Source organism: Homo sapiens, chromosome 1, assembly GCF_000001405.40.
Source record: "Homo sapiens chromosome 1, GRCh38.p14 Primary Assembly".
Classification (NCBI taxonomy): domain Eukaryota; kingdom Metazoa; phylum Chordata; class Mammalia; order Primates; family Hominidae; genus Homo; species Homo sapiens.
Window position 1 is genome coordinate 29,153,852 of NC_000001.11, and position 26,472 is coordinate 29,180,323.

The 26,472-nt window shown below is 41.4% G+C and overlaps 2 protein-coding genes across 7 annotated transcripts in view, besides 3 other annotated features; both read right to left on the reverse strand.

The window, feature by feature from the left end:
- Nucleotides 1-26,472, reverse strand: part of SRSF4 (serine and arginine rich splicing factor 4) — a 34,158-nt gene that overhangs the window by 6,109 nt on the left and 1,577 nt on the right. For 2 of the 5 annotated variants that reach the window (XM_011541951.4, NM_005626.5), the window contains exons 2-4: nt 6,524-6,666; nt 5,523-5,635; nt 845-1,059 (exon numbers count right to left, since the gene is read on the reverse strand). In XM_011541951.4, coding sequence (XP_011540253.1) covers nt 845-1,059; nt 5,523-5,635; nt 6,524-6,666 — 471 coding nt within the window. Of the gene's footprint in view, nt 1-844; nt 1,060-5,522; nt 5,636-6,012; nt 6,160-6,523; nt 6,945-12,038; nt 12,214-12,877; nt 21,868-26,472 lie in introns of those variants that run through there. The other 3 variants (XM_047427708.1, XM_047427706.1, XM_047427714.1) reach the window with 3 other exon arrangements.
- Nucleotides 2,532-3,033: an enhancer, noted in NCBI's record as "H3K27ac hESC enhancer chr1:29482895-29483396 (GRCh37/hg19 assembly coordinates)". NCBI's record gives its function as "activates a minimal SCP1, AML or CMV promoter by ChIP-STARR-seq in primed H9 embryonic stem cells {active_cell/tissue: H9 hESC(primed)}" and the evidence as "EXISTENCE:reporter gene assay evidence [ECO:0000049][PMID:30033119]".
- Nucleotides 10,631-11,251: an enhancer, noted in NCBI's record as "OCT4-NANOG-H3K27ac-H3K4me1 hESC enhancer chr1:29490994-29491614 (GRCh37/hg19 assembly coordinates)". NCBI's record gives its function as "activates a minimal SCP1, AML or CMV promoter by ChIP-STARR-seq in naive H9 embryonic stem cells {active_cell/tissue: H9 hESC(naive)}" and the evidence as "EXISTENCE:reporter gene assay evidence [ECO:0000049][PMID:30033119]".
- The window catches only part of MECR (mitochondrial trans-2-enoyl-CoA reductase), a 63,239-nt gene continuing 50,611 nt past the window's right edge, over nt 13,845-26,472 (reverse strand). For both annotated transcript variants that reach the window (XR_007060748.1, XR_007060747.1), the window contains one exon: nt 13,845-14,787. The gene's annotated coding sequence lies outside the window, so the exon portion shown is untranslated. The remainder of the gene's footprint in view (nt 14,788-26,472) is intronic.
- Nucleotides 24,083-24,583: an enhancer, noted in NCBI's record as "H3K4me1 hESC enhancer chr1:29504446-29504946 (GRCh37/hg19 assembly coordinates)". NCBI's record gives its function as "activates a minimal SCP1, AML or CMV promoter by ChIP-STARR-seq in naive H9 embryonic stem cells {active_cell/tissue: H9 hESC(naive)}" and the evidence as "EXISTENCE:reporter gene assay evidence [ECO:0000049][PMID:30033119]".

Here is a 26,472-nt window from a genome sequence, read left to right on the forward strand (position 1 = left end):
TGGCCTCCCAAAGTGCTGGGATTACAGGCGTGAGCCACTGTGCCCGGCCTCTGATTTCCCTTTTTGAGATGGAGTCTCCCTGTCGCCCAGGCTGGAGTGGAATAGTGCGATCTCGGCTCACTGCAACCTCTGCCTCCTGGGTTCAAGCGATTCCCATGCCTCAGCCTCCTGGGTAGCTGGGACTACAGGTACGTGCGCCACCACACCATTTTTTTTTTTGAGATGGAGTTTCGCTCTTGTTGCCCAGGCTGGAGTGCAATGGCACAATCTCGGCTCACTGCAACCTCTGCCCCTACTGGGTTCAAGCAATTTTCAAGCAATTTTTCTGCCTCCGCCTCCCGAGTCACTGGGATTATAGGCACCCACCACGCCCAACTAAATTTTGTTATTTTTAGTAGAGACAAGATTTCGCCATGTTGGCCAGGCTGGTCTCGACTCCTGACATCAGGTGATCCACCCACCTCGGCCTCCCAAAGTGCTGGGATTACAGACATGCGCCACAGCGCCCAGCATTTTTGTATTTTTAGTACAGATGGGGTTTCACCATATTGGTCAGGCTGGTCTTGAACTCCTGACCTTGTGATGCGCCCACCTTGGCCTCCCAAAGTGCTGGGATTACAGGCGTGAGCAAGGCCTCTGATTTCTAAGAGAAGGGACTTCTATTTGTACTCATGACCTAAGAGTTCAAGAGTTTTACAAATAAATGTTCAGTTCAAAATTCTAAGTTATTGAACCAGATGGAATCATGTTATTAAGAACTCAACAGGAAAATGTAAATAAATTATCTATGTGCTCACTAATGAATTTATGATGAGCTCCAACACACAAAAGACATCAACAGTACCTTGAATGACTCCGGCTTCTGGAGTAGGACCGGCGTCGTCTGGAACCTGGCTTGTCTTCAACTAATCTGATTTTTCTCCCATTGACTTCAGTTCCATCCAACTTTTCCAAAGCTCTTTTCATATCAGAATAAGATACAAATTCAATCACCCCTTCATTTTTGCGTCCCTTGTGAGCATCTGCATAAGTCACTTCTCCTGCCTGACGCATATAATCCTGAAGAAAAAAAAAAGTGTGACTACATTAGGATATGTTTTGCTAAAATATCTAATGCAATCATCTGAGTGAATTTTTCCTTTAAGAAATGCCAGCATTCCGCAGAATAAAGTTTACTCTTAAATATTTTCATCTACCCATCAATCATGTACTGAGGTTCTTTAAAGCACCAGCCATATTAGGTGGGTGGGAGAGACAATAAATACACATTAAATTGTTCCTTTAAATAAAGTTTTGGGGCCAAGTGTGGTGGCTCATGCCTGTAATCCCAGCACTTTGACAAGCTGAGGCGGGAGGATTGCTTGATCCCAGGAATTCAAGACCAGCCTTGACAACACAGAAGACCCTATCTCTACAAAAATTGAAAAAATTAGTCAGGTGTAGTGGCACACGCCTGTGGTCCCAGCTACCCAGTAGGATGAGGTGGGAGGATCATCTGAGCCCAAGGAGGTTGAGGCTGCAGTGAGCCGTGATCATGCCACTGCACTCCAGCCTGGGGTACAGAGCAAGACCCTACCTCAAAACAAAAAAATAAAGTTTTGTGTGAATATAGAAGTTTTCAGTTAGCTATCATCTTCTAAATTTAAAAACAAACAAAAAACAGAGTCTTGCTTTGTCGCTCAGGCAGCTGGAGTGCAGTGATGTGACCTCGGCTCACTGCAACCTCTGCCTCCCAGGTTCAAGTGATTCTGTGCCTCAGCCTCCCCAACAGCTGGAACTGCAGGTCCGCGCCACCATACCCAGCTGATTTTTTGTGTTTTCATTAGAGATGGGGTTTTGCCATATTGCCTAGGCTGGTCTCAAACTCCTGAGCTCAGGCAATCCACCTGCCTCAGCCTCCCAAAGTGCTAGGATTATAGGCATGGGTCACTGTGCCCAGCCCATTTTCTAAATCTTATAGTGACAAATTATTTGTTTATAACCATCATGTCCCTTCAATACCACAGGCCTCTTTCCTCATTCTCTTTGAGGACTTCCTATGGTTCAATGAGAGAATACAACTAATGTCCTAGACAAATGCTAAAGCATTATATAAATAAGAGGAGATATGATTAGGAGGTTGCAGTGAGCCGAGATAGTGTCACTGCACTCCAGCCTGCTGACAGAGCGGGACTCCATCTCAAAAAACAAAACAAAACAGAACAAAAAGAAATTTATTTTTGGCCAGGTGCAGTGGCTCACACCTGTAATCCCAACACCTTGGGAGGCCAAGGCCAGGAGATCACCTGAGGTCAGGAGTTTGTGACCAGCCTGGCAACTTTGTGAAACCTTGTCTCTACTAAAAATACAAAAATCAACCAGACGTGGTGGCAGGCGCTTGTAACCCCAGCTACCTGGGAGGCTGAGGCATGAAAATCGCTTGAACCCAGGAGGTGGAAGTTGCAGTGAGCGAGATTGTGCCACTGCATTCTAGCCCAGGCGACAGAGCAAGACCTTCGTCTCAAAAAAAAAAAAAAATTTATTTTTTAAACTACTAATATCCCCTAATTTGTTTTATTTTTGCATTTCCTTGATAAATAGCTAACATACATTGTGCCAGAAACTGTTCTAGGCTTTTTATATATAAAATTCACTAAATTCTTTCAATAACCTTGAGTAGAAATTAGTATTAACCCCATTTTATAGTTGAGGAATATGAGGCATAAGATGTAAGTAACTTGCTAAGGGTCATGTAAGTGACCTTAGTGGCAGAACCAGGATTCTATTCAGGTTGGCCACCTTGAGAGCTAGGAAATCTGCTCAATTATCTATTACTCTCGTTTCCTGAGAGTGGAACTGCCTGAAGGTACAGACATGTAGAACCAACTAAGGGTGGTAACTGTTGGGGACCAGCCTCAACACCACCCGTAGGGTACCCAAAGTCTGGTGGCGACGAAGGAATGAGAAGAGAGAGGTTAAGAGTGCATAAAGAGTGGGGGCCAGGGGGCCAATTGCAAAATGGAGGCTGCAAAAGGCTCAGAGTTCTGGTCTCCACACTATTTACTGAGTACAATCACTTAGATCTAAGAAGCAGACATTCAGGACGAAACGGTGAAAGGCAGGCAGTGCTGAAAGGAAGGCAGTGCGTCATACACGTAATCTACAGCAGTGGCAGTTTAAATGAATCTCCTTTGTGCTTAGACAGCATATCTTTAACTTATCGGAGAGTAGCTGGTGGGAGCGAGCTTAACTAGGAGCCTGCATGTCTGGCCACATTCCAGTGCTTCAAAGGAGTGTCTTTCTCCTTGAACACAGTGTTTATGGATAAGAGAGCAAGTCTTGCTGAGAGCATGGGAACATAATGGTGATAAGGCTTTCCTCCTCCCACAAGAGGCCTCTTGTGGCTTTGCACAATTTATTGTCCCATATTTTTATGGCCAGTTTATACAGGCACCCCATAAGCCTTTCCCCCAACAGTAACTAAGCTCTGTTCTAACAAAAAAATTAAGAGGTTTTCTAAGAAGTTAATTTAATATTACATTTAGTGGCACTACATGACGAGTTAGCATTCTACTGATGAAGAGAGTAGCTTTCCAGTTTCTACCCATGATGTTCAATCCCTAACTCTCAGAATACTGGAGTCATTCCTTCAGCAAGCAGAATCTTGCTGGCAGACATTCAGTAAAGGTCTGCTACGGTGCTGACGATAAGCATGATGCACCTGAAAAAACAGCAGACTGGGAGTCAGGAGTCCTGGTCCCAGCTCTTCTGCATGTTACTTGAAGGTTGCTGGGATTAAATTTTAAAAAGAAAAACAAAAAAGTGCTTTAAATTAAACTATACAAATGTAAAGGATTCCTAACTATTCTTTCCTGAACCTAAATACACTTCACTCATTTGGCTAGAGATGACTTGTTTAAATATGGCCAAAAAAAGCGAGAAGGGAGACAGAAAACAAAACCTGTTTCATGCATCCTCCTAAGACCATTCAGATTATGATACTGCTCAGTAAGTTTTTCTTCCTATTGAGATTAAAAACACTGTTGTCAATAAGTGGGGCCGGGTGCAGTGGCTCACGCCTGTAATCCCAGCACTTTAGGAGGCCAAGGCAGGTGGATCACTTGTGGTCAGGAGGAGCTCGAGACCAGCCTGGTCAACATGGTGAAACCCCGCCTCTACTAAAATACAAAAATTGGCCGGGCATGGTGGCATGCACTTGTAATCCCAGTTACTCAGAGGGCTGAGGCAGAACTACTTGAACCCCAGAGGCGGAGGTTGCAGTGAGCTGAGATGGCGCCACTGCACTCCAGCCTAGGCGAAAGGGCGAGACTCCATCTCAAAAAAAAAAAAAAGCTGGAACCAGTACACTGGATGGCCAACATTAGCACTGAATCTTAATTCTTGACACCAAACCTCTTTCAGGACAAATATTCCATCAAAAACCTTATGAAAAAACATGGGTCAGATTGTCAATTTCACCAGTAAGGATACACACTGAAGCTGATGTGAATTTGCATGTTATAGCAAATGCTGCAGGAAACACTGATGGTTTCAACCATTTTATTGACTGGTGAGTAGCTACACTGCCATCTTCTTGTAACCCTTTTTTTTTTTTTTGAGACAGAGTCCTGCTCTACTGCCCAGGCTGGAGTGCAGTGGCATGATTTTGGCTCACTACAACCTCCACCTTCCAGGTTCAAGCAATTCTCTTGCCTCAGCCTCCCAAGTAGCTGGGACTACAGGTGCCCACCACCACGCCCGGCTAATTTTTGTATCTTTTTAAGTAGAGACAGGGTTTCAAACATTCTTTACAGAGAGAAATTTCGTTATCACACATTTGGGCCAGGTTTCTGTCATGTCAGCACTTGAGGAGGCTGAGACTGAAGGATCACTTGAGGCCAGGAGTTCGAGACCAGTCGGGGTAACATAGTGACAACCAATCTCTGAGCCATGATTGTGCCTCTGCACTCCAGCCTAGGCAACAGAGACTCTGTAACAAAACAAAATCAGGCCGGGCGCGGTGGCTCACGCCTGTAATCCCAGCACTTTGGGAGGCTGAGGCGGGTGGATCACAAGGTCAGGAGTTCAAGATGGTGAAACCTCGTCTCTACTAAAAATACAAAAAAATTACCCGGGCATGGTGGCGGGTGCCTGTAATCCCAGCTACTCAGGAAGCTGAGATGGAGAATTGCTTGAACCCGGGAGGCGGAGGCTGCAGTGAGCAGAGATGGTGCCACTGCACTCCAGCCTGGGCAACACAGCGAGACTCCATCTCAAACAAACCAAACCAAACCAAACCAAACCAAACCAAACCAAACCAAACTCACAAATGTGTCCTTAGAATGATGGTCCCACAATGTATAGCAGGAATATAATTCTGATATATTTTGTACTCATATGGCACTTTAATTATTTCCAGCTCTGTGCAGGCTTTCAAACATATAACACTGTATTTTGTGTATGCCTGGGCCTGCACAAATCTACCTGTTTCCCAACTTTAACTCCTGCCCAACCTTACCCCAAAAGGTTAATGGGGCCCAAACCTTTAGGTCTTGCCAGCTGCACCGACTTGACAAATTCTCCACAATAAGTCTGTACTCTGTGCGAGTAGGAGGGCCATATTTATCTCGGCCACTTCTTCTATAACCATATCCACCTTTGGAAGGTTCAAATAAATAAGATTATTTCAGTGGAAGAAAAGGAAAAAAAATGACACAGCACACACCCCCCCTTAAATATATTATTTACCCCCACCCCAAACAATAGCACGTTTTAACTCTATTCCCACCCTTAATTCTAAAATAGATTTTTAAAGAAGCAATCAGCTAAATATAAACATTTAATTTAAAAAGTTGTAAGTATACATATTCATTAATATTTGCATTTAAGATTAACATGCATAAATTTAAAACTATTAACAATTTAACAATTTAGAAATAAGTAACCAAATTACTAAATCAGTTACTGGTGTTACTCACAGTGATTAAACATTTTGTGAATATTTTATATGGAAAAAAAAAGATTTTCAGGCACCTATTTCAGTTTAATCTCATCTGTGTCTAACCCTTGGGATCCTCACCACCCAGGTCTAATGGGGAAAGGTTGCGGTCGTCACATGGCTTCCTGTTTTTGGTCAGCCAAGGGCCACAATGGTTCAAAGAGCCACGCATGGAAAGGTAACCCAAGGTCAGCAAATGGAACAGGCAGTCATCTTAGCCTCAAAGGATTCTTTTAATTAAAACATTGAGGTCTTTGTTAAATCTATGTTAAACAATTGCATTACAGAGAAAAAAACAACAACAACACAAACACACATCATTAAACATATTTATAAAGTATTATAAACAAGAAATTGTCATTAGTTTAATTAAAATTAAACATTATCAAAGGCTTATTTGTAATTCTACATTTTTAAAAAAGATACATAATTTACAAAATAGCTTAAACATCAATACGTTTAAATGTAATATCAATTAATTACTTTAAAAATTAGCATGATAACAAAAGCACGTTACTGATAAAAGTATGCCCTTTGAATGCTTACTGCGTCCAGAACCGTAACTGCCATCTCGCCGTGGGCCGCGGGCATGCTCAACAATTACTCGCTCACCACAAAGGTCTTTGCCATTCAGTTCATAAACAGCATCATCTGCATCACGCAGATCATCAAACTCCACAAAACCATATCTAGAAGAGAGCAAAGAAAATACTGGTTGGTACCATTTTGACATCCAGCTTCACTAACATTAAAGAGAAAGCAATGAGGTTCATGCTTAGCAAAGGTTAGGTGGATTTTGCAAACTAAGGATCAACTTTGTCTTCTCTTCAGGTGAAACCACTTTGCTTTGTGCCAACAGGCACTGAAAGAGGTAGGGAGACTTCTCAAAGTAGACTCCTATCTTTCTAGGAGGAGGCTGGCTACATACACAGGACACTTCTTTTGTTTCCCAAGTAGTTGGTGGCAACTGCAAAGACAGGGATGCTTGGTATAAGAATCCAAAATATATAATGCTACAAGACATATAACGCTCTTTCAAACACCACATAAAACTCATCTTTTTTAGCTTTAAAAGTGGTATCTTAGAGAACAATTAGACCTACATTCAGGCACTGTGTAATAACTGTTGAATCATGTGAAAGTAAAAAACTTTTTTTTAAGGTTCCTGTTCCTCTACGTAAACACATCTGTCACATGTGATTATCAGTGAAAAAAAGACTGGAGCTGTTTACTTCCCTGTGAGATTCCAAATTCATTTCCATGAAGTTTTAGAATAGGATGGAATTCTCTGAAATCTGTATACAACTCGTGCAAACTTCTTTAAATGGTATTGCTACATCTTTTCCAGCCAAGAGGTTTGGTGGCTTAACATATAACCAAAAGAACCCCCACCATCCTACTAATGCCTATTAAAGAGTACAATTTATATAGCTAAAGTGCAAAATTTGTAAGATACTTATAAGCAAGGTTATACAAATGCCCTGTAAATTATGTTTTCAAGAAATATTTAGTTTGGTCTGACACAGCTGTGAAAAGTCCAGCTTTGTGACCATTGCCTATATTTAAAAACCAAAACCATCTTATTGATCATAACTAATCAGAAAGGAAAGTTACAAGCAATTTCTTTAAACTCTAGTAAGGCTGTGTGTACACGGGCACACAGACTAGTGTTCCTCTGCATTTAAACACACTGACACTACAAACAAGTTACAAGACTTGTCAGAGGGTCACTCAGCCTGCTGACAAAAAATGATTCCAGTTTACTTATTTATTTATTTATTTTATTTTTTGAGACAGAGTCTCGCTGTCGCCCAGGCTGGAGCGCAGTGGTGCGATCTCAGCTCACTGCAACCTCCACCTCCTGGGTTCAAGTGATTCTCCTGCCTCAGCCTCCCGAGTAGCTGGGATTACAGGCGCACGCCCCCATGCCTGGCTACTTTTTGTATTTTTAGTAGAGACAGGGTTTTGCCATGTTGGCCAAGCTGGTCTCAAAACCTCAGGTGATTCGCCCTCCTGGGCCTCCCAAAGCGCTAGGATTATAGGCGTGAGCCACTGCGCCCGGCCTCCAGTTTCTTTAGAATGTGATGCTATACTCAGTAACATGTTAAATAAGTGAGAACTCAGAATTGTGGAATTTTTCCTTTACTAAAGAGTTCCTTTCATACAACAGTCTCTCAAGGTGACAATGTGCTAGGTTACAATGTGTAGGTAACAACGTTGGAGGGTTTTTTATGTTGAAATGTCTGAGTGGCACTGAATGTCAACTCCATTAAAAAAAATTAACACAGACACACCCGGTTATTTAACAGGAAGTGCCTTGCAGTAACACAATTCAGAAGCCACCTGGCTCAATTTATGGGCTGTGAAGTCTTTAAAACATAGTTTCACGCTTCCATAGGCTAGAATTGCTGAGCAGCTTAATAAGAAGGATTTTGAACATGCTGTTATCTTAGAAAAGGCAAGTAAAGCCTCTCGAAATCCCTGACTTACTATGTTCAAAAGTGCTTTACAGTGACTAAAAATCTATTAATAGATAATATAATGTAGCTGCTTTTTCCTTTCTTAGATAGAATGGGTCATTAGGAAAACTATACTATTATTTTCAGAGACAATTTTTCTTTTAAGGCAAATAAAAAACCAACTCAACTATTTTCTACTTTGGTTTATCTCTAGATGGATTCAAAACAATAACAACAACAAAAGTGCCCTCCTGAATTTAATTGTCAAGACCAGTCCCAAGTCTCCTCTGTCCACAGCATCACTGCTTTTGGCACCATGTGAGAGCCTGACGCCATGCGGAGGGAGGAGGGACATTTGGCCTGGGCGTGATGGAATGGCCTCCACTCCCTTCGAGTCATACTCTGGCTCGGCACTGTTCAATGACTGAATGACCAGGACTGATCTAACGTGATCTTAGAAGGACATCACCGAATCCTGAGGATTAAACAAACCACAGGAAAATACCAACTGTTTTCCTCAAAATAGTGAAGGGTTACAACTACTGGGCAGAGGGGGTGGTCACAGAATGCAACATCCTAAGCTCTGCAGGTCAACTGAAATAGAAAGCCCAGTGGCCGCTGATGGCAAGTGATGCTTCTGTCAGACCTACATGGTAATACATTCTCCCAGACTCAAAGATCACCCTGTTCCAAGGCTCATATGCAGAACTTATCCTGACCTTTCAGAGAAAGCAGTGACAATCTGTTCAGTGGAGGCAGGTTAATTTAAAAATAAAAATTAATGTTACGACAGATGAATCTTTCTTTGCAAGCTGAGAATGAAGCAAGGCATATCTTGCCAATAAAACTTCCTTGAGTTACAGGGACAACTGGTAATGTTACAGAAAAATCCCTACAAACCTCCCCCAGTATTTACTTCTAAAAAGTTCCAACAAGTGGGTCACTTGGTAAGCCTGTTTTGGGGGTATCCAAAACATTTATTAAATTAGCTGACTTGAGATTAAATTTATTTTACAGAAAAATTTTGGCTACTATTCTGTGAAAAAATCTATTTGAAACATATCAAAGTTCAGTTCAAGGATCAAATCAGGCATCTGATTGTCACTTCTCTCTGCCATTGACATGCTGAGTGGGTTTGGAAGATTAAAACAAACATCTTCGCATACAACAAACCATATCTGATACGGACTCTTGTTCTGAGAATAAAGCAAAGAGCAGATCAGTGTGGTTGTTTCTACCAAGTCTGCTTTACTTGAAGAATGACTTAATTTCATTCAATAAATAGAGTGAATAAGATAGAAATAAATTAAGACAGAAGACTAGATAATAAAAATAAAATGTTACCTCTGACTAAACAATCTCTCTATTAAGCAATGGTATCGTAGTTTATATTCATAGCACCCATCAGCTAGGTACTATTATTTCTGTTTTACAAATGAAGAAATCAAGGCACAGAATATTAAATAACTTGCATAAAAAAACCCCGCCGAGCTGGCATTCAAACCTGTGGTTTGACACCAGGGCTGAAACTCCCTAACTATTAAGACTGAAGCAGCAAGAACCGACCTGGGTTCTAGTCTTGGTTCTGCTACAAACTTTGAAGAGCAAATTTAAATCATTTTATTTCTCTGGGTCTTAGTTTATTCATGAAATGAGGGAAGTATACTGCATATCTCCAAGGCTTCGACTAACATCAAAAGCATGACAGGTTAAGTGTTAAAATTAGTGCTCCTTTGGTTTAACAATGGAGATGGGGTCTCAATATGTTATCCAGGCTGGACTTGAACTCCTGGGATCAAGGGATCCTGCGGCTTCAGCCTCCCAAGTAGCTGGGATTACAGGCACACGCCACTGTGCTGGGCTTCAAAAATGGAAAATTTAAACTCTAAAATTTGACATGCCTGCACTAGGATGGTACCACCAGACACCAACAGATGAAAAGGGATACATTTTTATCATCTAAAATACCTTTTATGTATGGGTCCCAATTTTAGTTCATTTAAACACTTTTAACTGTTCCTGAATTAATTAGTGCCTTCAACAAAGTAAAGCTCTTCCTGGTAACTAACACTAGAGCCTTTTAAAGCCAAGCTTAACACTCCCTTTGTGCTTTGCAGCAAGTAACGTGAAACAAATCTCTTTTCTCAGAAAGCAATCTCCTTTTGAATCCTCTGTCAGAGTAAAAAGGAATATAAAATACACACATGCATGTATACATACTATTATATGTATGCACGTGTGTACATATATGTATATACATCTCTGGTGTGACTTGTGAATAAGCCTCACAAAACAACCCAAGAGATAAATTTCTCTAATTCTAACAGCAGAAATCCTTCCTCTTCTGCTCTATTAAAAACAAAGAACACCTTTCAATAATTCATAGGATGCAGGAATTCAGGAGAAAGAATCTAAGACAAATGTAAAAACCCCTCCACAGCAGGGATTGACAGAAACACAAAGAGCCCTGCGATACACTTTCAATCTTCCTCCCCTATGCATATGAAAGAATAAAAAGCATGACCTCACTATTCAATACACAACACCCTTCAAGTAAGAGAAGAAACTCCTTTCTTTAATGTTTCTCTGCAATAGGTTGAGTATTCTGAATCCGAAAATCCAAAATCTGAAATGCTCGAAAATCCGAAACTTTCTGAGCAGCAACAAGATGCTCAAATTTGCTCATCAGAACATTTTGGATTTTGTTTAGGAATGCTCAACCATTAAGTACAATACAAACATTCCCAAATCCCAAAAAAAACCCTGAAATCCAAAATTCGTCTGATCCCAAGCACTGTGTTGTCTTTACCAAAACTATTTTCCTCTGGTCACATTCTATCCTCACAAACCTAGTCAAAAGAATGAGGGGAAGTTGCTGTCATTTTCCCTGTAAAAAAAGGCAGGCACCATGAGTCTTACCAAGTATAGACAGGTATCTGGATACCACAAACAAAAGCCACACTGAATTACATGGGCTGCTCTAAACTTTAGTCCATTCTTATCCCATTGCCAATGCGCTCATCTTCGTCATTCAATAGCTGATGTACTGCTCAGGTTATCAGTCATAATTCTGAAAAGGTAGAACTGGAATGACGTATTTTTAAAACTAAGGTACTCTAAGACTTCAACTTTTGAAATGTTAACCACACTTCTTCAGGCAAGAATTATTATCTGAGTTTGTATCCTTGCTAAATATCCTTTCTCTGATCCTAATAGCCTATACCAATGGTCCCAAACACCAAGTCTGCCCTTTGCTCTGTTATGTTCTACTGAATAGGATTTACCTCAACTCTTTTCAGAACAGCTTAGGGTCACTTCTGTATTCCAAACATCTTCACTGAACAGGGAGACTAAGTCCTGTCTGCAATCTAATACCCATGGCTTGCTCTGGAAACAGGCTGATCAATGGCTAACTGGGCAAGGCATGACTAAGGGGGTGCTCAATACCAGAAACTGCTAGGGAGTGGGTATGAGGAGCAGGGGAAAGCAAGCCTCCATGCGTGTGACCGTGGTCACCCACCAACACTGCTTACCGAGGGGCATGCCTTGGATGGTCTCTCTATAAGAAAATATGCCCCTTTCCACGGTGGATCTCTGCTCACCTTTGTCCTAAAACTGTGCCACATGCTTTTCTTTGTATGTGGACATGACAGTCCTCAGCCAACCATCAGCAGGATGTGAGTTTTGTTTTCACAATGTGGTGAGCCATTCCCACATTCACTCATTTTCCTTGTAAGAACCGAACCTCTCCATGGCTGGTCAGGATTAGGGATGTTGCTGTAGCCAAGGAAAAATTTTCATCTGTTGAAGTTAACCCACGGGGTGGCTTGAACCCTCAATCTAGAGTCAGTAGCACTGTACTTTAAGGGGAAAGTCCTTAAATCTACCCTGAAAGAAATGGCATTCAGTGAACAGGAATCAAACAGCTTTGTTTCAAAGCACTCAGTGATGTCCTATGCTTCAGCCAACTTGGTCTTATGAGGTAAAAAGTCAGGACACACTGATAGGACAGTACTAAAAAAACGGTAATTCTTGCTGTCTGCATAAAGTGCTTGGCAAACTGTAGAAAGACACTTCTGCAACCAACTCTAGTGCTCAGAAGAGGCCAACTCAGAGAAAAGCTTGTGAATGAGAACAGTGTAACTGCCCCGATTCCAAAGGTCTGCAACATTCCAGGGAACCAGCGTTCAGGCCCTCACAGAAGAATTAACCAATGTCACATTTACTGCTCAGGATCAGTGATTATGGTTGCAATTTGACTTTCCTGGCAACAGAGGGTTGTTTACAACCCACAACTAAAAGCTGCTACCACATGAAATGGGTTCCTGAGATCCTTTCCTTTCTTGAGACAGGAAGGAGGCTGCTCTGGGCATTGTGGCCTCTCTTTAGTCTCAGAGGAGGGAGGGCCATCAAGGCCACCTGGAGGAGGTGGATGACTTACCCGTGCTCACTGAGTGGCAGAGCTGGGGTGCGACTTCAGGGCTCACCATTACCCAGTCTGGGACTCTTTTCACGTCGGCAAACTGGCAGTTCCCGCACACCAAGGGCTCTCTGATTAGAGCTAGTGTGGATTCCTGGTCTGCAAACGTTGGCCACAGCTCAGTCTGCACTTGATCTTTCCCCACCTTCAAAGAAGAAAACCTACCTCATGATTTCTCTCTTCCGGATCCCTTGACCATCTAATTTGCTCCCAACACCTTTGTAATCACTTCTGACTATATCTTATTGGTTACCCACTGGGTCTACTGCCAAGTTCTGCAGTTTTCTCATTTGCTGGGCCTTCAGGGCTGTCTCTACCATTTGGATTAATTTATGTAATTCTAGGCTAGAGCTATTTTTACTTAGTCAACTTGTCTTTTGCATTGTGTCAGGAAAAGTCAGCTACTAAATCATTTTTTTGTTTAGAAGTCTATAACGACTCCTAAGTATCTTTATGTCACTCTCTAAACCTGGAACACCTTGACTACACAAGTTGAATTATATCAATCTTCTTCCATATGCTTGAGAATTACCTCTTTCATGAAGCCTCAGAAACTTGCCTATTCCAATTATTTTAGGACTTTCTTTAGCTTTAGCACTTCTATTCAATTTTACGCTTTTTGTTTTTGTTTTTTTGAGATGGAGTCTCGCTCTGTTGCCCAGGCTGGAGTGCAAAGGCACAATCTTGGCTCACTGCAGCCTCCACCTCCCAGGTTCAAGCAGTTCTCCTGCCTCAGCCTCTTGAATAGCTGGAATTACAGGCACACGCCACCACGCCCAGCTAATTTTTATATTTTTAGTGGAGACGGGGTTTCACCATGTTGGTCAGGCTTGTCTCAAACTCCTGACCTTGTGATATGGCCGCCTCAGCCTCCCAAAGTGCTGGGATTACAGGCGTGAGCCACTGTGCCCAGTCATGTTTCTGTAGCTTTTTAAGTCTTGTTTTTGTCTTTGTGCTTACCTTCTCTTTTGATTATGAGCTCTTCACTAAGAAAAACGAAGGCTAATATCTGTTGGCTATTTAGCACAGTGCCTGGCACAGTAAATAATTTATCCATAATATTTCATCCATTTGTATATCAAATGTGAAGAATGTATTATTATTCTTCTCATTTTACAATGAGAAACTGAGGCTTGGAGTAAGCAACTTGCTCATTTTCAAGGAGCTCATGAGTGAAGGAGCTAGATTTGAACCCAGACCCATGACTCTAAAAATCCCAGCTCTAAACCACAAGGTTCTAATTCCTTTTTTTTTTTTTTTTTAAAAAAAACATAGTCTCGCTCTGTCGCGCAGGCTGCAGCGCAGCGGCGCGATCTCCACTCACTGCAACCTCTGACCCTGGGCTCAAGCAATTCTTGTACCTCAGCCTTTAGAGTGGCTGGGACTACAGGTGTGCACCACCATGCCCGGCAAATTTTTTGTAATTTTTTTTTTTTTTTTTTTAGGAGAGACAGGGTTTCACCATGTTGCCCAGGGTGGTCTCGAACTCCTGAGCTCAGGCAATCCACCTGCCTTGGCCTCCCAAAGTGCTAGAATTACAGGCATGAGCCACCATGCCCGGCCTTCTACTGTATTTTAAAGGCAGATGCTTCTCTTCCAGTCCTGTGTACAATCTTTTTTCACTCAATAAATGCTGCTGCTTGACTTAATGATACTCTAACATCAGATAAAGTCAGGCTGTAGTAAAGGTTTTTGATATAATGGGGTAAAGTCTCTAGAGAAAAAAGAAATTGACCTTGGGGCAGGGTGAAGCACCTCTAAGCTGGGGGTATGTGACAACCAGGTTACTTTCACTCGTCTTTTGGTTCCCATTAGCCAGTGTCAGCCATCTGGTCCTTCCGAAAACATGTGTGGGTTCAGAACATAACAGACTAGAAGAATAGAGGAAAAATAAGATTATTCTGTGCAATCCCCATTCTGGAGGTCCCATATCAACCCCCGGAGTCTGTCTTTGCTTCTAAGGCTCAGCAAAAATTAGACCAGCATAAAGAAGATGAAGACTTGGATCTAGACGTGGTGGATGTGAATGAATATTGGCAATATTATGTATTTAGGAATGTATTTAATTAGTTTTGCAAGGAATGGTGACTTGAACCAAAAAATATAAGCGTGAATGGTAGGAGGGAAATGGGCCAGAAATCAAAGAATACTAGAAAGTTTACAGACTTTCAACTATACAAAGGTTAAAGCAGCAACCAGAAAAGTACCATGCAGATGATAAACATCTAAGATGTGATTTAATTTTCATTAACTAAAAACTATTTTTAACATGCAGCCCACTAGGACTCTTCTTCACATTTCTTTGTAATAATTACTACTCCTATTTTTGAAAGTTTTACGATGTATAAAGCATTATGCTAAGTGCTTTACACACATTATATCCATTTAATTTTCACAACTCTGAGGTTTACTGTCATCTGACAGATCAAGAAACTAACTTAGAGGAGTTGAGTAACTTGCCAAGACTATCCCAAAGACCTGGGATTCTTCACACCCAGCTAACCTAAAACCTGCATTCTACCACCACGTTTTAACCGCCTCCTATATACCAATGAAAAGTGGTCCATAAAACCAGAGTTGGAGAAACACAAGCTCTTGCACAGAAAATCAGTTTCATCAAATTATGTGCTGTAGTGTGGAAGACAAATGCCCACAGGAATATAAGCATCTTATGAGAAAGAGTAAGTGGCAAGAAAACACCATTTCTGCATGTGATGTGTGTGTGCTAATACCAGTAAGTTGTGAACATTTATTCTCTACAAGTGGAACCAAACCCATATGCCATCAAAATTTTAATACTAGTCTAGGAAAATAGAAAAAGGTAACAAATCATTAAGAAACTTATATCTCAGCAATGAGAACACAAATATATCAGTGGGAAAATTAAACTCATGATCCTTTCTCATAAAGTAAACCAACTGCTGAAAAAAAATCTCTAATGATGAACTAACCAAACTCAAGCCCATGGTATTGAGTCCACATTGCAGATAACAGCCCATCTCTAACAGAATATATATTCACATAGTAGGGTGAGAAAAACAGAACAATCATTATCCTAAACACCAAACAGTAAAACTAAATCCTCCCAGAATGGGAGGTAGAGAGGAATCTGCATCAAATATGAATTTAGTCTTACTCTGTAACTACTCTATGAGCCTATTTGCCAACTTTGTTTTAGCTATTCAAAACTTTCAAAAATGAACTAAGTCAGCTAAGGTATTTCACTTTTACACTGCAAATAGTTTGTGGATCAAACTATCATTACCCCCTGCAATCATAACTGAACTTTCTTTTTTGATATTTTAAAGTCAACATGGCTTTCCTGAAAGGGAGGGCAGATACAATCATCTGTGTCCATTTCAATTTTCTGACACTTTTCAACACTAAGGATAAATGAAATTGAAAGCTTTCAAAAAAGGGGAATCAACTATTGCCTGATGACAAGAAGTTCGTGAAGACTCAACCACAAATTAAAAACGATTTGAAAAAACTCGAGAGATGAAAGTCACATTACCAATTTAGAATAAAACTCTTGGGATTTAATATAGAATTACTTTATCTGTTATTCCTACTTAAAGAAATAAAGGTTTACACTCTGCAGACAGCACTACCTGATTCCACACAAAAGCTACAAACAAAACCAGTTCATACTTACCTCTTAAACAACACAATGAGCAGGCTGCCAGGTGTTAAAGCTTCATTAAAGATGATGCCTCTTGGATCATCTTGGCTGTATGAGGCACCATGTCCCTCATAATCGCCCCTGGTCCCTGGGCTGGAGTCTGTTTCTTCATTTTCATTTTTGGTTAAAGATGCCACTCCCTATGCTTTTATTAATTAGTGGATGCCACTAATTAAGTATTTTAATGAATTTTTCAAATTCTTTTAAAATGGATGGATCAATAGCTTCATTTCAATTACATGAAAACCTTTCCAAGTCCATGTTTCTGGTCTGTGGTTCCTGACTCCCTTGCCTGAGCCTCCTGCTCTGTCTGCCCTCTTCATTCCTGAAGGCTGAATTCAAACCTCCCTCTTTCAGACTTCCTCTTCTCTCTAGGTCTTGGGGGTCTTTGTTCATGAAGGTCCCCTTTCTGGCATAAAAACCTAAACCCATGGTTGGGGACCTGGGAGAAATAAAGTGCCTTTCAAGCGCTTCTTCAGACATTGCGTGCAGTTCAGAAATCTTTAGCCTGGGAGACTTTCATCTCAACACACAGAAAACTCAAGTAAAACATTTCCTCAAACTATGGGCATACAAATTCAGAGCATAATCTAATCCCTCACCTTCAGGGTACTATAAGACCAGACGGCCCTAGGAATGACAATAAGGCAGAGAACATTTACTTGTACAAATCCTTCCTCAGCCAACCACGATAAAGCTGATACCACCTTACAGCTTTTCAAAGAGTAGCCTGAGGAGGAGAATCACTAGCAGTCTCCAACTAAGGACAACATCATAAAAAATACCATCTGTCTCACTTTTGGCAGTAACTTGTCAGCTTGCTGGAAGCCTCTACAGAGACTAAAGGCTGAACAAGCCCGGAAACCTGAACTACCCTCTCACCCTCAGAGGCAATCCCCAAAGGACAGGACTAAAGGAAATAGCATGAGGGAAGCTTTGAATGTCAATGCCCACATGTATCTAGTATGGGAATTTAAAAAATCTTCTATTTCCGGAGTTGTCAATAACTCATTTTGTAACCTTGGGCCAGTCACCTTATCACCCCATGCCTCAGTTTCCCCATCAGTACAAACTAGGGACAACACTTGTTCATAAAGTACTTTGACATACTCAGTTGAAAAATAAGTCATACAAATGCATTAATATTTTCGGAAGTTTTAAGATTTCAGTGTTAGCTTACAAATTTGTAAGTATCACCCCAACGGTATTCTCTCAGATGCCTGGAGCACCTTTCTTCTGAGGAGCTCAAAGTAAAATTTGCGGTTCTGGGTACCTGGAAGCATAAAAAAATACTAGAAACCCAAACCACATTTTATTACCGAGTCTATATCCTGTGCCTATCTTTTAAGAAGGGACAAATACTTCGTATGGCCCTTAAATTCATACAGTACCTCAATGAGAAAGGAGGAGCAAAACAGTATATTAAACTGAAGAACAGGGATTTTAAATGACTTAGTCAAATAATTACAAATGATGTTTATTCATACCACAAACTGAAGGGACCAAGAACCAAGGAGTGGAGGTCTTGAACCAGGGCAATTTACGCTGTTAACATTTGGTCAAAAATCTCAATATGGTATTATCTCTTGGCATTGATTTTTCAAAATGACAGAAAAAAATTAAATTCCCCATATATTGGGGGAAAAAAATAATACACTTTTTTGGGGGGTAAGTTGACTTTAAAAAGTGACTTTTAATAAAAAAAAATTTGATCACATTTGTAATAGTTATATTACTAATAAAACAATGACAGAATGCTACTTAATTCATAGTCCTATCTCTATTTATTATTCATTCAAGAAAAACTTCCTGATTATTTTTCACTTGGTAAATTAGCATCTTTTATTTTTATTTTTTATTTTTGAGACAGAGTCTCACTCTGTCACCCAAGCTGGAGTGGAATGGTGTGATCTCACACTGCAACTTCCGCCTCCCGGGTTCAAGCGGTTCTCCTGCCTCAGCCTCCCGAGTAGCTAGGATTGCAGGAGCCTACCACCATGCCCAGCTAATTTTTGTAATTTCAGTAGAGACAGGGTCTCATCATGTTGGTCAGGCTGGTCTCGAACTTCTGACCTCAGGTGATCCGCCCGCCTTGGCCTCCTAAAGTGCTGGAATTACAGACGTGAGCCACCACGCCTGGCCAGCAAACACAACAGGGGTACTCCATGCTGTTGAAGTGCCCATCACACGGGCATGCTCATACACTGCGGGTGTTAAGTGTAACTGGTGTAGCTTTTCTGGAAAGTTATTTGGTTATATGCACTGAGATACTTGAATATGTTCACTCCTGCTGTGACACATGAATTTTATTTCATGGAATCCATATGTACTCAGGGATAATAAAAATGCAAACAAAGTTTTATGCACATAATACCCATCACAGGGTTACTTATAACAGCAAGAATTAGGAGACCAAAAAAAAGGTAGACAATATAAGAGGAATGGTTGGGTAAGTCATAATATTGCCATACAATGGATTTTATGAAGCCATTAATAAGGAAGATTTTAATGTAATAGAAAATACATGAGATAAATTAAGTAAAAAAAGCGTGACACAAAATTGCACGTAAAACCTCACCCATCTTAAAAGGATGCTTAATGATACTTTTCACTTTATGCTTTCATAATATCTAAATGATCTACAATTAACCTACATTTATTCTCTAATGAGTCAAAAAGGCTTTTTTTTTTTTTTTTTTTTTTTTTGAGACAGAGTCTTGCTCTGTCATCCAGGCTGGAGTGCAGTGGTGCGATCTCGGCTCACTGCAAGCTCAGCCTCCCGGGTTCACGCCATTCTCCTACTTCAACCTCCCAAGTAGCTGGGACTACAGGCGCAGGCCAACAGGCCCGGCTAATTTTTTTTGTATTTTTTTTTTAGTAGAGATAGGGTTTCACCATGTTAGCCAGGATGGTCTCGATCTCCTGACCTCGTGATCCGCCCGCCTCGGCCTCCCAAAGTGCTGGGATTACAGGTGTGAGCCACCACGCCTGGCCTAAAAAGTTGTTTTTTTTTTTTCTTTTTTTTTTTTTTTTTTGAGATGGAGTCTCACTCTGTTGCCCAGGCTGGAGTGCAATGGTGCAATCTCGGCTCCCGGGTTCTAGCGATTCTCCTGCCTCAGCCTCCTAAGTAGCTGGGATTACAGCAAGTGCCACCATACCCAGCTAATTTTTGTCTTTTTAGTACAGACGGGGTTTCACCATGCTGGCCAGGCTGGTCTCAAACTCCTGACCTCAAGTGATCCGCCCACCTCAGCTTCCCAAAAGTGCTGGGATTACAGGTGTGAGCCACCGCACCTGGTCCAAAAAGTTCTTGAATTTGTTATGCTTGATAGGCTAAATAGACAAGCCTTAAAGGCTGCCAAATGATTTCCTCATATATAATTCTAAACATTTTAATTAGAAAAAATTAGTTTAAAAAATTATAATAAAGGGCACTGTTCAGAAAAGTAGGAACTCTTGGTGGGTGCGGTGGCTCACGCCTGTAATCCCAGCACTTTGGGAGGATGAGGTGGGCGGATCACCTGAGGTCAGGAGTTTGAGAACAGCCTGGCCAACAAGGTGAAACTGTGTCTCTACTAAAAATACAAAAATTAGCGGGGTGTGGTGGCAGGCGCCTGTAATCCCAGCTACTTGGGAGGCTGAGGCAGGAGAACTGCTTGAACCCGGGAGGCAGAGGTTGCAGTGAGCTGAGATCATGCCACTGCACTGCACTGCAGCCTGGGAGACAGATTGAGACCCCATCTCAAAAAAAAAAAGAAAAAAGAAAAAAAAAAATAGGAGCTCTTAAACACCGCAGGTGGAAACGTAAATATTAATTTACCGAGTAATGGAATAGCTAGCAAAAGCATTAAAATGTGTATATGCTTTGACTCCCAAAGTCTACTTGCAGGAATCTGCCCTAAGGCAAAAAGAAATGTATACAAAAATTCATATAAAGGATATTCAACAGTATTATACATGCATAAAATAGTACAAAAATAAAGATAACCTAAATGCCTTGCAACATGGTTCTGATTATGTCCATTAAATAACATATGTATGTTGGAGTACTATGTAGCCATTAGAAACCAGGTTGTAGGAGAATACTTAATGACAAAGGAAAAGGATCAGGCTGTTAGGGTGAAACAAGCAAATTATAAAATAACTTATAGTATGATTCCAAGTTTGGAAAAAAAAAAGGAGTCAGGAGAGGCATAAGAAAAGGGAGAGACTGTGCAGGAGATAGGTTTTTTTTTTTTTTTTTTTGATGGAGTCTTGCTCCATCACCAGGCTGGAGTGCAGTGGCCCGATCTAGGCTCATTGCAACCTCCACTTCCTGGGTTCAAGCAATTCTCCTGCCTCAGCCTCCTGAGTAGCTGGGACTACAGGCGTGCGCCATCATGCCCAGCTAATTTTTGTATTTTTAGTAGAGACAGGGTTTCACCATGTTGGCCAGGATGGTCTCAATCTCTTGACCTTGTGATCTGCCAGCCTTGGCCTCCCAAAGTGTTGGGATTATAGGCGTGAGCCACCACAACTGGCCGGTGGGTTTTTTAATTAAAAAAAAAAAAAAGAAAAGAAGAGAGACAGAGTGCGTGCGTGCACATGCCCATACCTGTATGTGAAAAAAAGTAAAACTAAAAAACCCAAAATGCAAAGAGTTACATCTTTGGATTATTTTGGTCCTTCTCCATATAAAAAAATTATAATAGGCCAGGTGTGGTGGCTCACGCCTGTAATCCCAGCACTTTGTGAGGTAGATCACTTTGAGGTCAGGAGTTCAAAACCAGGCTGGCCAACGTGGTGAAACCCCGTTTCTACAAAAAATACAAAAATTAGCCGGGGGTGGTGGTGCACACCTGTAATCCCAGCTACTTGGGAGGCTGAGGCAGCAGAATCGCTTGTACCTGGGAGGTGAGCCACGATTGTGCCACTGCATTCCAGCCTGGGCAACAGACAGAGACTCCATCTCAAAAAAAATTTCCGGCCGGGCGTGGTGGCTCACGCCTGTAATCCCAGCACTTTGGGAGGCCGAGGCGGGTGGATCATGAGGTCAGGAGATCGAGACCATCCTGGGTAACACAGTGAAACCCCGTCTCTACTAAAAATACAAAAAATTAGCCGGGAGCGGTGGCGGGCTCCTGTAGTCCCAGCTACTTGAGAGGCTGAGGCAGGAGAATGGCGTGAACCCAGGAGGCGGAGCTTGCAGTGAGCCGAGATTGCGCCACTGCACTCCAGCCTGGGCGACAGAGCCAGACGCTGTCTCAAAAAAAAAAAAAAAAAAAAAAAAAAAAATTTCCAATTATAAATATGTGCTACTTTGAAAATTAAGAGTGGGTCTTTAATTTTAACTATACATAAAGAGAGTTATTCAAACACGCTTTTAAACAAAACTTGTTTTAACCTCTTCTTAGATAATCCTAAAATTAATCCAGAACCAAATGTCTTCCTTTTCTTAACATAGACTCTAATGCTTTGTACATGCCAGTGCAAATGGGATGCTATTTCTGAGGCTGGCAGAAGGGCTTAAAAACAAAAAGGTGGCCGGGCATGGTGGCTCACACCTGTAATCCCAGCACTTTGGGAGGCCGAGGCAGGTGGATCATGAGGTCAGGAGATCAAGACCATCCTGCCTAACACGGTGAAACCCTGTCTCTACTAAAAATACAAAAAATTAGCCGGGCGTGGTGGCACGCGCCTGTAGTCCCAGCTACTTGGGAGGCTGAGGCAGGAGAATTGCTTGAACCCAAAAGGCGGAAGTTGCAGTGAGCTGAGATTGTACCACTGCACTCCAGCCTGGGCGACAGAGCAAGACTCCATCTCAAAAAAAACAAAAAACAAAAAACAAAAAAACAACAAATAGGTGGTAGGGTTCCTAAAGGCAAAGTGTTTGCTTTTTCTTTTGTCACTCATTAGTTATAGCATTATCATAAAAATGATAAAGCACTTCTCTGCCACTTGGTGGTGGGTGAAGATAATCCCTCTCATGATTAAGAATACGGTAACGATGAATGACAGAGCCTTGGGAGAAGCCTTGGGAGAATTAAAAACTAAAAACTTTAAAAAAAAAAAAAAGAAAAAAATACTGTAACAGCTCATCTAACCAGAAACCAGCAACCTGGAACATTAAACTAACTATATACTTCCTAATCTGTCAAGAATTCAGGAGTCAAAAGAGAAAAATCCCTGTGTAGGTGCTGGGGTTGGCAGTAATTCTTCTCAGTATCTAAGGCTTAATAATGCCCTCCAGTGAGCAGTGACATACACAACAACGACCTGCCTCACTCGAAGAGTCTTGAACTCCACATTAAAAAAATTATGGTGCATTAAACAAGGGCGAAAACAAAAATTTTCTGGTAATAATTAGATAGCATGACTAAACAGACCACAACATCCCCTGAAAATTCAGGCTATTCATGATTTCACTGTTCCATGAAACGCAGGTTCTGAAGTTTAAATCCAAGTTTCCCTTGAGAGTTTTAATTCATGACTTGAACTAAAAAATAAAACTATAAATTTCAATGATCTGGGGGTTTATCCTTCTAGCTACTAGACAGGCAAAATAATCTTAATATGTGGTAAGTTTTACTCATTAACTAAAATATGGAAAAGCTAAGATATAAAGATCTGACTAAAACCACAAGATTTTATGACAAAAGGGCAACTAGTGTACTCAAAATTCTTTCACACTTTACATGAAATGGCTTATTATAAAAAATAAAATCTATATACAATCAAAGCCAACAAAAGTTACCACAGAGCTGAAAGGGTATAAACAAGTGCTGCTAATATTGTTGCTTCCTTGACGTGCATCTAGGATTCCTGCCCCTCCCTTCCCTACAGTAACTCTTTTTGTTTTTTTTTTTTTTTGAGACGAAGTTTTGCTCTTGTTGCCCAGGCTGGAGTGCAATGGCAGGATCTCGGCTCACCGCAACCTATGCCTCTGAGGTTCAAGTGATTCTCTTGCCTCAGCCTCCCGAGTAGCCAGGATTACAGGCATGTGCCACGACGCCCGGCTAACTTTGTATTTTTAGTAGAGACAGGGGTTTCTCCATGTTGGTCAGGCTGGTCTTGAACTTATGACCTTGGGTGATCTGCCTGCCTTGGCCTCTCAAAGTGCCGGGGTTACAGGTGTGAGCCACCGTGCCAGGCCCTTGCAGTGACTCTTGAAGTTTATGGGGCGGGTAGAAAAGTAGGAGACCTTAATGGGAAATGGAATGGTCTATATGATCCTGGGAGATCTTCGTTGTATTTGTGGTCCCAAACCATCTTTCAAAAAGTTCTCTAGAACAGTGGCAATCTACATTAGCGATGCCTGGTGTAATAAAACGGTAGGCAATGAACTCTTGCTTACACACCTCTTCTCCAAACCCTCTCAGGGTCCATAGAATCCTTTCCTGAACACTAAATCTCCTTTGAAGAACTCATTTGTTTCCTTATTTGGTCATCTTCCTATTACACAAGATTTTTTTTTTTTTTTTTTTTTTTTGAGACAGAGTCTTGCTCTGTTGCCTAGGTTGGAGTGCAGTGATGCAATCTCTGCTCACTGCAACCTCCACCTCCCAGGTTCAAGCAATTCTCCTGCCTTAGCCTCTAGAGGAGCTGGGATTACAGGTGCCCACCACCACACCCAGCTAATCTTTGTATTTTTAGTAGAGATGGGGTTTCACCATGTTGGCCAGGCTGGTCTCAAACCCCTGACTTCAAGTGATCCACCTACCTCGGCCTCCCAAGGTGATGGGATTACAGGTGTGAGCCACCGTGACCGGTCTAGACAAGCATTTTATGCCTTAATTCTAAACTTAACTTACAACCCTTCAGCCTAACATATCTACTGATACATCTCACTTCTACAAATCTGAACTCCAGCAATTCTTCAAAGACCTATCTAAAGCATCCAAAATCTGTTTCTGAGTTTCAATTACTTTTTTTTTTGAGACAGAGTCTCGCTGTCGCCCAGGCTGGAGTGCAGTGGCACGATCTCGGCTCACTGCAAGCTCCACCTCCCAGGTTCACGCCATTCTCCTGCCTCAGCCTCTCGAGTAGCTGGGACTACAGGTGCCTGCCACCATGCCCGGCTACTTTTTTTTAATTTTTATTTTCATTTTTAGTAGAGACGGGGTTTCACCATCTTAACCAGGATGGTCTCGATCTCCTGACCTCGTCATCTGCCCGCCTCGGCCTCCCAAAGTGCTGGGATTACAGGCCACCGCGCCCGGCCTCTGAGTTTCAATTACTAATCACAATCTAGATATGTTCAAACATGCTTCCCAGTAGGGAGATCCACTGCCCTTCTGCTAGGGGACTATAAGCTTACATACGTAGCTAAGTTATGCTTTTTCTTTTGTACTCACTCCTTCCTTTCAGACTCTCCAGCGTTTTTGCCATACAGGCAATTTTTGCTTGAAATACATCTTTACCATTGGTCTTCTTCCCAGAAGTCGTTTTCCTCTGTAATGATTCCTCAATGATGCCAGGAGGTCATATTGTGTGCTGTTTGGTGACTGTCATACCTGTCTTTGAAACTCTAAAATGACTTCATTTCAACCTTGACTTTCAATGACATTTCATGCATATCATGGTTTGGCAGCATAACTGTAAGAATGAACAGTTCCTTAAAAAAACCACCCAGGTATTTAGGGTCCTGAAAGGCTCTTTCCTCTTATCGCTCCATCTTCCTTTTGGGTTGCTCACTTCTTCCTTCCAGAGCCTTTGAATTCCTACTCATTGATTTCGAATTTTTAGTGTAAAATCTAATAGTCGTTGTTTCTGGTTTATGTTGTTAAATTTCTAGATTCTTCATAAGGCTTGATCCATGCTAGATTGTTTATTATTTTTCATAATTGCTTCTTACTGGACCATGTCTTCAACACCAATTATGACATTAAAAAAATATTTTTTCCCTATTCATCAAAAAGCAAAAAAAGTCAGCATTGTACTTATTTTATTAGAGATGGGGGTCTTGCTGTTACCCAGACTGGAGTGCAGTGTCACAATCATAGCTCACTGTAGCCTTGAAATCCTAGGCTGAAGTGATCCTCCTGCCTCATCCTCTGAAGTAGCTAGGACTATAGGCGAGTGTCACCACGCGTGGCTAATTAAAAAAATTTTTTTCTTAGAGATGGGGTCAGGCTGGTCTCAAACTCCTGGCCTGAAGTAATCTTCACACTTCAGCTGGGATTGCAGGCACAAGTCACCATGCCTGAGCCCCAACTACGACATATACTATTCCCAGAAACCTAAATTTCTTCACTTCAAGCTCTAATCTATTCTTCAAAGCCATTTCAACACATCTTTTCAAGCAAATCATTCCAAGTTTTACTAGAGTTTAAAGCGAAAGCAAACATTTCTTAATTCAAAGTGCACATGTCATAATGCTTAATTTATTCAAGAGCAGAACTGTTTTCTGCCTCCTCCCCCAATTCATTTAGCACAGTGGTGGACATTTTGTTGATGGGTTATCAATACATTTGGTTGATGAATCAGTTTCCCATTAACAGTCTTGTCATTTCCTGCACACTATCACCTGAGTAACATTAGAAAAGACCTCACCAAACACGCTTTATGTTATCAAACACCAACAAGCAAAGATGTTTCCTCATCCCTCTGATTATAGCTGCCACTTACTGCCTAAGCCAAATGCTTTACATTTATTATCTCTAATCTTCCTTTTCCACATGAATGAACAACCAGGTTCAGAGAAGTAACTTGCCCATACGTAGTAAGTGGTGGAACCAGGATTTGACTTAGGCCTGGCTGGCTTCAAAATCCACACTTTGTCCACAAAAGTTAGTTATGCTGTCAATTTAGCTGGGCTCTGAAAAAAACTGGAGTTTCAACTTTCACATATATGGTATGTATACAATAACGTCTACCCGCCACTTCAATATATCCT